The sequence below is a fragment of the Homo sapiens genome, chromosome 8 (genome assembly GCF_000001405.40).
Source record: "Homo sapiens chromosome 8, GRCh38.p14 Primary Assembly".
Taxonomy (NCBI): Eukaryota; Metazoa; Chordata; class Mammalia; order Primates; family Hominidae; genus Homo; species Homo sapiens.
In genome coordinates this window covers 43,142,613-43,157,397 of record NC_000008.11, presented here as the reverse complement: position 1 = coordinate 43,157,397, position 14,785 = coordinate 43,142,613, and the positions used below count along the sequence as shown (strand labels likewise).

The 14,785-nt window shown below is 40.4% G+C and overlaps 1 protein-coding gene and 1 pseudogene across 7 annotated transcripts in view, besides 2 other annotated features; both read right to left on the bottom strand.

Moving 5' to 3' along the window:
- HGSNAT (heparan-alpha-glucosaminide N-acetyltransferase) overlaps positions 1–14,785 on the bottom strand; it is a 62,392-nt gene that overhangs the window by 45,458 nt on the left and 2,149 nt on the right. For all 7 annotated transcript variants that reach the window (XM_005273409.2, NM_001363227.2, NM_152419.3 and 4 more), the window contains exon 2: positions 10,335–10,450. In XM_005273409.2, coding sequence (XP_005273466.1) covers positions 10,335–10,450 — 116 coding nt within the window. The remainder of the gene's footprint in view (positions 1–10,334; positions 10,451–14,785) is intronic.
- Positions 1,787–1,836: an enhancer, noted in NCBI's record as "active region_27322". NCBI's record gives its function as "activates an Ori minimal core promoter by ATAC-STARR-seq in GM12878 lymphoblastoid cells {active_cell/tissue: GM12878}" and the evidence as "EXISTENCE:reporter gene assay evidence [ECO:0000049][PMID:35858748]".
- Positions 4,347–4,422, bottom strand: RNY5P6 (RNY5 pseudogene 6; annotated as a pseudogene).
- Positions 13,707–13,756: a silencer, noted in NCBI's record as "silent region_19166". NCBI's record gives its function as "represses an Ori minimal core promoter by ATAC-STARR-seq in GM12878 lymphoblastoid cells {active_cell/tissue: GM12878}" and the evidence as "EXISTENCE:reporter gene assay evidence [ECO:0000049][PMID:35858748]".

The window sequence follows — 14,785 nt, the reverse complement described above, 5'->3', positions numbered from 1 at the left end:
AATGACCAAATATTAGTTAAATAAATCAAATTAAAGCAATATATTTATTTCTCACCAGCTTTACTAGGATTTTAAAATCATTTTTTGTTCAGTTACTAGATATTTATATCACAGCATTAAGATTATATTTTAAAATGATCACAAATTAAATAATTCAATAATTTTGTTATTTTGTTTCCTATGGTGTGAAACACTGTTTACATACCAAGTTCCCTTGACATAATCTTAGAAATATGTCCTCATATACTATAATATTAAACTTTTAACCCTCTCAAATATTTCTCCATTCTAGTGCTTTCTGTTTCATCCTGCTATATTATGTTTTCAATTATAAGTTTTAAATTTTTAATATAGCCATACTAATCTGGCTTGTTGTTTCTTCTATTGCTTCATTAATTCAAAAATGTATTCTGCTGACATAGAATAGTTGAAAGGATTAAAAAAAACAGACCCAACTGTATGCTGCCTACAAGAGACTCCCTTCAATTTTAAGAACACACAGACTCAAAGAAAAGGGATGGAAAAAGGTATTCTATGAAAATGGAAACAAAAAAGGTCAAGAGTAGCTGTACTAATACAAAAGACATAGACTTTAAGCCAAAAACTGTAAAAAGAGAAAAAGAAGGCCATTATATAAAAGGCCATATAAAATGATTAATACAGCAGGAAGATGTAACAGTTATAAATATATTTGCACCCAACATTGTAACAACTAAATATATAAAGGAATTATTAATAGACCTAAAGGGAGCAAACAAGTCTAAACAAAGTTTAAAAATCAAAATCATATCAATTATCTTTTCTGACCACAATGGAATAAAACTAAAAATCAGTAACAGGAGGAACTTTGGAAACTGTACAAATCCATGAAAATTAAACAACATATTCCTGAATAACCAATGAGTCAATGAAAAAATTTTAAAAATTAGCTGGGCATGGTGGTGGGCACCTATAATCCCAGTTACGTGGGAGGCTGAGGCAGGAAAATCACTTGAACCCAGGGGGTGGAGGTTGCAGTGAGCCGAGATGACACCACTTCTCTCCAGCCTGGGCGAAAGAGTGAGACTCTGTCTCAGAAAAGAAAAAATTTAAAAGAAATTTAAAATTTTCTTGAGAAAATGTAAAAAGAAATTTAAAACTAAAAATGTTGTTTCCATATGAAAATGGAAGCACAACATTCCAAAACCTATGGAATACAGCAAAACCAGTTCTAAGAGAGAAGTTTATGGCAATAAATGTCTACATCAAAAAAGTAGGTGACTGGGCACAGTGGCTCATGCCTGTAATCCCAGCACTTTGGGAGGCCGAGGCTGGCAGATCACCTGAGGTCAGGAATTCGAGACCAGCCTGGCCAACATGGTGAAACCCCATATCTACTAAAAATACAAAATTAGCCGGGCATGGTAGTGGGTGTCTATAATCCCAGCTACTCAGGAGGCTGAGATGGGAGAATCACTTGAACCCGGAAGACAGAGGCTGCAGTAAGCAGAGATGTGCCATTGCACTCCAGCCTGGGCAAAAAGAGCACAACTCCATCTTAAAAAAAGAAAAAAAAAAGGACACACATTGAGGAAAGGACAGTCTCTTCAATAAATAGTGCTGGGAAACTGGATATTTACATGTAGAAGAATGAAACTAGACCCCTATCTCTCATATCTTTCACAAACCAACTCAAAATGGATTAACAGCTTAAATGTAAGACCTGAAACTATGAAACTACTAGAAGTAAGCATGGGGGAAACATTGCATGACACTGGTGCATAGGTAACAGAAGCAAATCTAGACAAATGGGATTATACTAAAGTAAAAAAGCCTATGCACAGTGAAAGAAGCAATCCACAGAGTGAAGAAACAAGCTATAGAATGGGAGAAAATATTCACACACTACCATCTGACAGAATATATAAGGAACTCAAACACCTCAATAGCAAAAAAAAGGCTCATTTTTTAAATGGGCAATAAATCAAAATAGGTATTTCTCAAAAGACATATACAACTATTATGTATCAGGGGAAAAAAAGAAGATATAAAAATCCCAACAGGTATGTGAAAAAATGCACATCACTAATAATCAGGGAAATGTAAATCAAAACCACAATAAGATATCACCTCAACTCAGTTATTTAGATTGGCTACTATCAAAAAGACAAAAAATAATGCATGCTGGCAAGGATGTGGAGAAAGGGGCACTCTTACACACTGTTGTTGGGAATATAAATTAGTACAGCCATTGTGGGAAACAATATGAAGGTTCCTAAAAATTAAAATAGAACTACCACATGATCCAACAATCCCACTACTGGGTATAGATCCAAAAGAAAGAAAATCAGTTTGTCAAATTTACAAGAAAAAAACAAACAACCCCATCAACAAGTGGGCGAAGGATATGAACAGACACTTCTCAAAAGAAGACAATTATGCAGCCCACAAACACATGAAAAAATGCTCATCATCACTGGCCATCAGAGAAATGCAAATCAAAACCACAATGAGATACCATCTTACACCAGTTAGAATGGCGATCATTAAAAAGTCAGGAAACAACAGGTGCTGGAGAGGATGTGGAGAAATAGGAACACTTTTACACTGTTGGGAGGACTGTAAACTAGTTCAACCACTGTGGAAGTCGGTGTGGCGATTCCTCAGGGATCTAGAACTAGAAATACCATTTGACCCAGCCATCCCTTTACTGGATTACCCAAAGGAATATAAATCATGCTGCTATAAAGACACATGCACACATATGTTTATTGCGGCACTATTCACAATAGCAAAGACTTGGAACCAACCCAAATGTCCAACAATGATAGACTGGATTAAGAAAATGTGGCACATATACACCATGGAATACTAGGCAGCGATAAAAAAGGATGAGTTCATGTCCTTTGTAGGGACATGGATGAAGCTGGAAACCATCATTCTCAGCAAACTATCGCAAGGACAAAAAACCAAACACCGCGTGCTCTCACTCATATGTGGGAATTGAACAATGAGAACACATGGACACAGGAAGGGGAACATCACACACCAGGACCTGCTGTGCGGTGGGGGGAGGGGGGAGGGATAGCATTAGGAGATATACCTAATGTTAAATGATGAGTTAATGGGTGCAGCACACCAACATGGCACATGTATACATATGTAACAAACCTGCACATTGTGCACATGTACCCTAAAACTGAAAGTATAATAAAGAAAAAAAAAGTAATACAAGTCTATCTTGCTACAAGAAGTTTGTGTGGCTAATAAGGAATTTCTAGCATGAAATTCTTGCCTTCAAAGCAGCCCCCTGGCCTGGATTCTACAATAAAGATCAATCTCATTTTCATCCTTCAAGAAAAAAAAGAAAAGAAAAGAAAATCAGTTTGTCAAAGAGATACTTGTACTCCCATGTTTAATACAGCACTATTCATAATAGCCAAGATATGGAATCAACCTAACTATCCATCAACCGATGAATGGACAAAGAAATGTGCAATATATTCACAGAGGAATACTATTCAGCCATAAAAAAGAATAAAATCCTCTCATTTGCAGCAACATGGATAAGCCTAATGGACATTATGTTAAGTGAAATAAGCCAGACACAGAAAGACAAATACCACATGATCTCACTCGTATGTAAAAGCTAAAAATGTGACCTCATAGAAGTAGAGAGTAAATAGAGGTTAGTAGGAAAGAGGAGATATGGAGGTTGATCAACAGGTGTAAAAGTCACAGTTACAATGGGATCAGTTCTGGTGACACATGGCACAGTAGGGTGACTATAGTTAACAATAATGTAATGTATATTGCAAAATAGATGAAGAGATGATTTTGAACCATCGCACCACAAAGAAATGACAAGTGTTTTGGTGATGGAAATGTTAACTACCCTAACTTGATCATTACCCAACGTGTACATTGGCTGGGCACGGTGGCTCACACCTGTAATCCTAGCACTTTGGGAGGCCGAGGTGGGCGGATCACTTGAGCTCAGCAGTTCGAGATACTGTACCCCATAAATATGTACCATTATTATGTCAATTAAAAAAAAAACTTTTTAAAAATGTATTCTGCCTTTTAAAATTTTTTTTAGTTTGTGGGTTTACTTTTTAACTTGAATCCTCTTGGAGTACTTGATACATGGTATACAGTAATTTTAAATACCTTTCCCCATGGTCTTAGTTATAATACTCTAGGTTCTTACATAAATTAGATTCTACTTCTCACACTTACATTGGTCTGTTAGTCTTCATTTCTCTTTTTTGGCTACATAAACGATTATGGCCTCACAATATATCTTATCTAATACAGCAAGTCTCCACATTGCCCAATCTCCTTTTGGGCCTTTTTTTTTTTCTTTTAAGCTAGTCAAGCATGGTTGTCGGGGGAGACAATATTAAATCAGCTTAACAATAACCCACAATACTCAGACCAATTTGGGCCGTCTTTTGATCCTCTGACTCATTTACTTTTTCATATGAATTTTGAAATTATTTATGTAGACTATATAATGAATTCTATTTACATATTAATAGAAATTAAGTATATTAATTAACTTGGGAAACACTGATATTTTTCCTGTTTAGTCTTGATATCAATGGTTATTGGCTATCTCTCCACTTAACCTTTATTTTTCTCATTTAAATGTATCATTTTCATCCAGATCTGTGGTTCACGCCTGTAATTCTAGCACTTTGGGAGGCCGAGGCAGGAGAATCACTTGAGGCCAGGAGTTCCAAACCAGTCTGAGCAACATAGCAAGACCTTGTCTCCACAAAAATTTTTAAATAAAAAATTAGCTGGGTGTCATGGTCCACGCCTATAGTCCTAGCTACTTGAGAGGCTGAAGCAGAAGGATTTCTTGAGCCCAGGAGTTTGAGAGTGCAGTGAGTCATGATCACACACCACTGCACTCCAACCTGGGCAACAGAGCAAGACCCTGCCTCAAAAATAAAAAATCATTTCTCAGCTTGTTCTTACTTCGATTCTGCTATCATTTTCTACCTTATGTATTTATTAATATTATTGCTTCTTTTTCTTTTTGTTTGGATGATTACACTGTTTGCTTTCAAAAACCTTGAGATCCCTACTGAATAGCTTTGCATTTCCCCTTTTCTTTCTTGAGATGGACTCTCGCTCTGTCACCCAGGCTGGAGTGCAATGGCATGCTCTCAGCTCACTACAACCTCCGCCTACCAGGTTCAAGTGATTCTCCTGCCTCAGCCTCCCAAGTAACTGGTACTACAAGCGCCCACCACCATGCCCAGCTAATTTTTGTATTTTTAGTAGAGATGGGGTTTCACCATGTTGGTCAGGCTGGTCTCAAAACTCCCAACCTTCAAGTGATCTGCCCACCTGGGCCTCCCAAAGTGCTGGGATTAGACGTATGAACCACTGCATCCAGCCTCCCCTTTTCTTTCTGATTAACATAAATACCAACCTCCAAAGCTACAGGGAGGGGTGAATTGTAGCTTTGCCACCTAACAGCTAGGTAACCCAGAAAAATGTCACTTTATTTCTCTTAATTTCAGTATCTCCAGCAAATCCTCTCTCCTGGATAGAATCTCTCTACTGGAGTGTTGTAAGTTAAATGAGACAGACCTAAAACACTGAACAAGTCCTCAGGAAACAGTAGCTGCAATTTCTATTACCATCGTCTTTATTATTATGAACATTTACATGCATTTTTTTCATAGGAATTGCTTTGGCCTGATCTAAAGATTTTCAACGAAATGCTCGTATTTATATTATAACCCTTATTATATTAGTTTGTTTCTTTGTTGTGCAGAAGTATGAGGTAGAATACATAATCCCTGCTTTTTTTAATTTATCCAGTCTCTTTTGACTTAACATATGATGAGTGTTTTGTGAAACGAATATATACAGGAATTTTTTAATTATCTACTTTTTTCATTTAATTTCTGCCACACGTGTTACTTATTTCTATTGCCAGTAACACTGACACGTGGAGAGGTCTCGCTCTGCTTCAGCTTACAGACACTCAGTCACGAAACACTCCCAAGGAGCTCAGCGGCAGGTTCCGTTATTTTTCCAGCTTCACAGGGGAAGAGAAGCAGAGAGAAGGTGAGAACCATACCCAAAGTAACACAAGTGACAGAGGTGGGATTCAAACCAGACACTTGGACTGCAGAATCCAAGCTCTTAACCACCTCACTCCCTGACATTATTCAGCTCAGTTCACCAGCTCTATGATGAAACCTTCAAAATGTTTGCCCTGGTAAGAGTATCTTATCATTTGTCTCTACTACGACTTTGTTTTGTATTATTAGCTGCTACCATTATTTTCGATGTACTTTGGGGACCCACATAAATTTGGTGCCTTTTTATTTAGGGTGTTCATATTTTAGCATTAGTATTTACTATTTATGCAAATGCTTAACTAGCCCCTTTTATTCTAATATCTACTTCATCAAAAAGTACAAGTTTTCATTGTATTCTTTATGAGTGCAATATTTTAGTTTTTAATACTTTATTTACTAATGTATATATATATAGCTCTTCTCTTTCCAAAAGCAATTTTATTTTATTTATTTATTTATTTATTTATTTATTTATTTTGAAACGGAGTCTCGCTCTGTCACCCAGGCTGGAGTGCAGTGGCGCAATCTTGGCTCTTTGCAAGCTCCGCCTCCCGGGTTCACGCCATTCTCCTGCCTCAGCCTCCCGAGTAGCTGGGACTACAGGAGCCCACCACCATGCCTGGCTAATTTTTTGTATTTTTTAGTAGAGACAGGGTTTCACCGTGTTGGCCAGGATGGTCTCGATCTCCTGACCTTGTGATCCGCCCACCTTGGCCTCCCAGAGTGCTGGGATTACAGGTGTGAGCCACCGCGCCTGGCCTCCAAAAGCAATTTTAAATACTCACAATATCTTTTCTTTTTTATGTATTTTCCACATTGTATAGTCTTGTTTTTGTTTTGTTTTGTTTTGAAAGAGATGAGGACTTACTTTGTTGCCCCAGCTGGTCTCAAACTCCTACCTCAAGTGATCCTCTCACCTTGGCCTCCCAAAGTGCTGGGATTACAGGTGTGAACTACCTCGCAGGGCTCAGTCTTCTTTTTTTAGCAATATTTTAAAGATACAGAAACATTAACTGTTTACCATACTGAGAACATCTTACTTATAAAAAACTAAATGTTGGCCAGGCGCGGTGGCTCACGTCGGTAATCCCAGCACTCTGGGAGGCTGAGGCGGGCGGATCACAAGGTCAGGAGTTCAGGACCAGCGTGGCCAAAATGGTGAAACCCTGTCTCTACTAAAAATACAAAATTACTGGGTGCGGTGGCGGGCGCCTGTAGTCCCAACTACTCGGGAGGCTGAGGCAGGAGAATCGCTTGAACCCAGGAGGTGGAGGTTGTGGTGAGGTGAGATCGTGCCACTGCACTCCAGCCTGGGCGACAGAGCAAGACTCCGTCTTAAAATAAATAAATAAATAAAATAAAAGGTCTTTCTACTTTAAGGAAGTGAGATAAAGAGGGAAACAGAACAGGAAATTCTTCAACTCAGCTAGTAACTGATCTCTTGGGCATACCTTCACCTTAAATATCTTAAAGATATCCTTCCATCAGCCCCAGATTTTTATTATCTGGTTTACTAAATGTATGAAGTTATTATAATTTGCATTTTTTGCATACTTGTGTCTCCTATAATCTACATCTGCTTAAAATTTAAAAAAAAATTTTTTTTTTTTTTGAGACAGAGTCTTGCTCTGTTGCCCAGGCTGGAGTACAGTGGCCCGATCTCGGCTCACTGCAAGCTCCGCCTCCCGGGTTCACGCCATTCTCCTGCCTCAGCCTCCTGAGTAGCTGGGACTACAGGCGCCCGCCACCATGCCTGGCTAACTTTTCGTATTTTTTCAGTAGAGACGGGGTTTCACGGTGCTAGCCAGGATGGTCTCGATCTCCTGACTTCGTGATCCGCCCGCCTCGGCCTCCCAAAGTGCTGGGATTATAGGCGTGAGCCACCGCGCCCGGCCTAAAATTTTAAAAATTATCATTAAATTTCAAAATTTAAAAGTTTATGTCTAGACATAATTTTATCAGTCTCTAGTTAAAAGAGTCATAAGTGTCTTTCCAGTTTCCAGGGTAAAATCTTTTTTGCAATAATGGGATATTTTCTACCACTATGATTAAATACAAACCCTGTGTCACTTCTTTATACATTTTCCTGACATAATTATCTCCATGCTCTTTTAAATAAATCGGCAATTTTTTTCTTAAAACAGTCTCGTGTAGTTAATTCCTTTATTTATTTATTTATTTATTTATTTATTTTTTGAGACAGAGTCTCGCTCTGATGCCCAGGCTGGAGTGCAGTGGCTCGATCTCAGCTCACTGCCACCTCTGCCTCCCGGGGTTAAACGATTCTCCTGCCTCAGCCTCCCAAGTAGCTGGGATTACAGGCACACACCACTGTGCGTAGCTAATTTTTGTATTTTTAGTAGAGTCGGGGTTTCACCATGCTGGCCAGGCTGGTCTCAAACTCCTGACCTCATGATCTGCCCACTAGGCCACCCAAAGTGCTAGGATTATAAGAGTGAGCCACCGTGCACGGCCTGTCTTCCTGTTTTTTAATTCTTTCTTTTTTTTTTTTTTTCTTGAGACGGAGTTTCGCTCTTGTTGCCCAGGTTAGAGTGCAATGGTGCGATCTCGGCTCACTGCAACCTCCGCCTCCACCCAGGTTCAAGCGATTCTCCAGCCTCAGCCTCCCAAGTAGCTGTGATTACAGGCACCTGCTACCATGCCCGGGTAATTTTTTGTATTTTTTAATAGAGATGGGGTTTCACCATGTTGGCCAGGCTGATCTCTAACTCCAGACCTCAGGTGATCCACCCTCCTTGGCCTCCCAAAGTGCTGGGATTACAGGTGTGAGCCACCATGCCTGGCCTCTTTTTTAATTCTTTAATTTGTCCACAGCATCACTGTTGTATGCCAATGATCCTACTTGTTTTATTCTAATAATGGTCTTACTTGCCCTACACCTAACACCTTGACGACAGCATAACACCTTGATATAGCATTACTATATATATGAATTTAATATAAATTTAATATAAATTAAATATAAATATAAATTAAAATTCAACCTCTGATGGTAGGTATAACGAAGCTCTCAATTTGGCAATAAAAATTTTTTCTTTTTATTTTTTTGAGACAGAGTTTCGCTTTTGTTGCCCAGGCTGGAGAGCAATGGCGCGATCTCGGCTCACTGCAACCTCCACCTCCTGGGTTCAAGCGATTCTCCTGCCTCAGCCTCCCAAGTAGCTGGGATTACAAGTCATGTGCCACCATGCCCGGTAATTTTGTATTTTTAGTAGAGACAGGGTTTCTCCATGTTGGTCAGGCTGGTCTCGAACTCCTGACCTCAGGTGATCCCCCTACCTCGGTCTCCCAAAGTGCTGAGATTACAGGCGTGAGCCACTGTGCCTGGCAAAAACATTTTATCATTTCAATTTTTATTTTAGATTCAGGGGCACATGTGCAGGTTTGTTACATGGGTATACTGTATGATGCTGAAGTTTGGGGCATGAATGATCCTGTCTCCCAGGTGGTGAGCACAGTACCTAGTAGGTAATTTTTCAGCCCTATAGGTACTACTCAGCTCTAGTACCCAAGTTTTTCAGTACTGCTTGGGTACTGCAGCCCAAATAGTCCCTAGTGTCTCCTGTTCCCACCTTTATGTTCATAAGTACCCAATGCTTAGCTCCACTTAGAAGTGAGAACATGCAGTATTTGGCTTTCTATTCCTGTGTTAATTTACTTAGGATATTGGCCTCCAACTGCATCCATGTTGCTGCAAAGGACATGATTTCATTCTTTTTTTATGGTTGCATAGTAGAATATTTTATTTTACATGAAAGAATAGCCTTGTCCTTAAAAAGCAACAAGGTCTAGAATAGGAGTAAAACCTTCAGAGAAAATGCATTTGTTATCATCAGGGAGGCAGGGCCCTGGAATAACTGCCACTCCCTCAACTTGCACCACTCTGCTGGCCCCTGGAGAATACCCTGGTGTCTCACTCCTTCCTTCTCTGGTCCAGCAAGAGGGTTATGCACTAGAGAGGAGGAAAATAAAACATAGTCTATCAAGGTTGTTCATCCCTGAGAACTGGCTTTTTAAAGGATGAGTAGATGAAAAGATAAAAATAGATGCTGTGCATTCCTAGGCATCCTCCCCTGACTGTATTTCTTCCGACTCTTTATATAGCTTCTTTGTTTCTTTAGCTGCAAAACTGAAATTAACTTGTGAAGGGCTTTAGACATGAGAGCATTAAGGATCATATCAAACAAGCCCCAAAGCAAACAGAACTGAGTGTGAACTGATACATACGTGATAACAGCATTCAGATTTCCAGTAGACGGTCAAGTTGGTCCAGAGAAGTTCATTATGGATGAGTAGCAAAGCCTGATCCATCTTCAGCTCTGCATGTCTTTTTTTGTCTAAGTCTGGTAGAAATTAGGAAAAGTTAAAAAAAAAAAAAAAAGGCACCCGAAAGATGTGTTAGAGACAAAGTACATTCGTGTGAACAGTTGCTTCCAGTAGTGCTTCTCAAAAGCTTACACTCTGGGATTTCTGGGGTCTCTCACACATTACTTTGTGTATGCGCAGATATATGTGCGTGCATGCATGCATGTGCACACACACACATGCATGCATGTGCACACACACAGGTCTCCTTTTGCACAGATGTCTCTACTACAAGAGGATTCAGTCAACACCACTCAAATCTAGTGCATCAAAGGATCGTGTAAGGAACTTATATTCATCGAGTGCTAAGATGTGACATGTACTGAATTTAGTAGTTTCCCTATAATAATGACAATCTTATGAGCTAGGTATTTTCCCCACTTTACAGATGAATAAATTAAGCCTCTCAAGAATTAGATAACTGCCTGTGACCACGGTTTTTCAATGAAATAATTGATATGAACCCAATTTGTATTACTCTAAAGTTCAAGCTTTCTCCCCTACCACGTTACTGAGCTGCGATTGTAGCCAGGCAGCTTGTTAGAAATGCAGAACCTGCTTGAGTCAGACAGGTTAGCGAGGCCCAGGGGCGGGGTGCACGTGTCTTGAAAGTTTGAGAAGTGCTGCTTTCTATCACTTTGTTTTGGAGTTTGGAATATCCTAATTTCCATGGCAGATCGGAGAGGGGTAAGCAGACAGTTTTAAGACAAGCCTCAGTCTGAAGGGCAGAGAAACTCACTGCTCCTGGATTGGGAGCAGTGAATCCTGGATTGGGAGCATGCCCCAATCCAGAAACTCACACAGCTCACCAGTTCACTAGATGATGTGCTGAGGATGACAGAAAGATGACGCACATTCTAAAATCACGTGTGCCAATTTGGTAGGAAAAATAAAGTGAACTGCTCTTGTCTAAAAGTCAAAGCAGAGTGGTTCATGTCAACCAACTGGGCCATTTATATGATATTATATAAAAGAGAAGTTAATTTATCCTCTGAGTAAATTTACCCAAAAGAAAAAAATGGGGAACTACTTAATAACACAATGAGGAAGGTAAGAACTCGGTCTCTATTTTGTAATGGGAAAGCTTCCTCTGGGCTCCCTAGTCACTCATTTGAATGGCAGAATCATGAATTCTTCACGTAGCCAGCTCAATCCCTCTTTCTTTCTTTTTTTTTTAAATGGAGTCTTGCTCTGTCACCCAGGCTGGAGTGCAGTGGCGCGATCTCGGCTCACTGCAACCTCTACCACTCGGGTTCAAGCCATTCTCCTGCCTCAGCCTCCTGAGTAGCTGGGACTACAGGCACGCACCACCAAACCCAGCTAATTTTTGTATTTTTAGTAGTGACGGGGTTTCACCACATTGGCCAGGATGGTCTCGATCTCTTGACCTCGTGATCTGCCTGCCTCGGCCTCCCAAAGTGCTGGGATTATAGGCATGAGCCACTGTGCCGGGCCTCAATCCCTCATTTTTAAGTTTATCTTACTTTACCCTTATTTAGCTCTCAGTGAAGACAAGCCCTGCAGTATAAAACTCTTAATCCACTAGAGCTGGCTTTTCCTTGGTGATGAAGGGGTAGAGATTGAGCCATGGGGATGCTTTAGGTTAAAGAATGCTTTTTTTTGGCCATCATGAGGATCTAACAACAGAGTAGAAGGAAGGATGCCCTAGGTCAGCACGCAGGGTGGTGGGAGGGCTTTCATCTTCCTTACCCAAGCCTCTCTTTTCACTTTTCTAGAAGTTCGGAAGTTGTTATATGATGAAATAGCCTCCTTTAACGTTTATTTCTGGGTGCCAAGGGAGGCCCATTCCTCTAACATTCTGATAATTCTTCTCAAAGGCCTATGATCTAAACATTTCACCATGGCATCCACTTAGCTGTGAGGCTGCATACACAGTCTCCACCTCTGAAATCTGAACTTCATTTACCAGTGGTGCTGTTTGAACTTCATAATGCCAGCACTTCCTGAACACTTACTGTGTGCCTGGCTTGTGTTCCTGAGTGCCTTATATCACAAGGAAACGGCAAAATCAGGGGACTGGTGTAAGTGGTGAAGCTGGGCTTGAATCTAAGCTTTGTCTTCAGAGCCAGTACCCCTAACCTCTCTTTCTGTAAAACATTACTTTTCAAAGAATGAAGTTGTAGCCAAATCTTGAAATTTTTCATTTACCCTAAGTGAGAACAAATAAAGCTTTCAGCAAAATAATAATAATAATAATAATCCACTATAGCTTTTGGTTCTCTAGGCCAAAGAAAGCTTTCACAATCATTTTTTCTGTTCTTTGGTCTCCTGGAAAGCTTTCAGTGGAAGCGATGTTTGGGACCTGGAGTATGACATAGTGGGATAAATTCAAGTTAAACTTGAATCTGAAGCCCAACTTGCCTCAGTTTCCTCACCAATAAATTAAGGGTCATAAGAGTATGTGCCTCATGAAACCGTTGGGAAATCTAAACTTGACCATCTACAAAGTGGCTGGCACAGAAACAAGTGCTCAACACATAGACATTACAGTGATCCAGGCCACATCCAACCAATGCAGAGACCAACAGAGCCTCTTCAGGATCGGGAACATCCAGTTAAAATTTTTTTTTTTTTTTTTTTGAGACAGAGTCTCGCTCTGTCTCCCAGGCTGGAGTGCAGTGGCAAGATCTCGGCCCACTGCAGCCTCAACCTCCTGAGTTCAAGCAATCCTCCCACCTCAGCCTCCCAAGTAGCTGGGACTACAGGGGCATGCCAGCACATCCAGCTAATTTTTTTTTGTCTTTTTTTGTAGACACAGGGTTTCACCATGTTACCTAGGCTGGTCTCAACTTCCTGGGGTCAAGTGATCTGCCCACCTCGACCTCCCAAAAGTGCTAGGACTACAGGCGTGAGCCACCACACCGGGCCCAAGAGTAAAATCTTTAACCAAAAACAGGCTTTTGAATAGCTTCTGATATGCATTACAAAATTTCTCTCCAATTCAGTTGTGCTGATTTCTAATGACAACTGTGATGGTTGAGATCTCCCAGGTAATACAAAGAACCACACTTACCAAAGAACCACCAGGCCCCAAGAGCCCTATGAAATAGCTCCTGGTGGGCCAGGCACGGTGGCTCACACCTGTAATCCCAGCAGTTTGGGAGGCTAAGGAGGGTGGATCATGAGGTCAGGGGATTGAGACCATCCTGGCTAACACGGTGAAACCCCATCTCTACTAAAAAATACAAAAAAAAAAAAAATTAGCCAGGCGTGATGGTGGGTGCCTATAGTCCCAGCTACTCGGGAGGCTGAGTCAGGAGAATGGTGTGAACCCAGGAGGCGGAGCTTGCAGTGAGCTGAGTTCGCACCACTGCACTCCAGCCTGGGCGACAGAGCGAGACTCTGTCTCAAAAAAAAAAAAAAGAAAGAAAGAAATAGCTCCTGGTGTCTCCATTTTGGGATGAGGCATCTGAGGCCTGAAGAGGTCAAGCAGCTTGCCCAAAGTCACCTACTAGCAGCCAGGATTTAAGCTGAGGTCAGTCTAACTGTGCACATAACGGCTAACCAGTCTCCTGAGCCTCAACAGATCCCTCCCTATAAGCCCAGCCAGATTAGCCTTTCCATGTTTCCCTCATATGTTAGCCTGGTGGATAGAAAATGGCACGTCCTAATTATTTTAGTTTTGAATTTGTGATTAACAAGTTTGAACATGTTTTCCAAATGTTTACCATCAGTATGTGACTTTCATATTAATTCCTGAATCATTTATTTATTTAACCACCTTTATTTAATCCCTGACACCTTCTGAGGTATTTGCATAACTTCTCTACATTAAAGACAAAAATATTAAATCCTTTGTCAATTTGTCATCGTTTTAAAATAGTTCTTTTTCATTTCCCTTCTTCAGTTTTAATGGCTTCCATTTTCACATTTCTAGTCACTCTCTGTAGACTTTTTCCTACACTTGATCATACCCAAGAGACCATGAAGCCATGAGCTTTTCCTTCGTAATTTCTCCACACATCATCATCCCTTCGTAGATGGAATAAGTACTGTGTGTACTCATGTTTCTCTAAGCCTTTGGTGGTGGGCGGAATAAGGTACTTGTTTTATACTTAGATTATCCACACGAATTTTAGGCTGAAAGCTCTTCATTGTCATTGTTACTAACTATGCTATTTGGGAATGTGCAGAGGGGCTCAGTCTTCATTGAATGTCAAAATTACCTGAGGAAGCTCTAAAAAAACTACAAAAGTTACCAATGCCCTGGCCCCATTCCAGACCAATTAAATCAGAATCTCTGCCCAATCAGCATGATTTTTTTAATTTCCCACAAAAAACAACGAACCTCC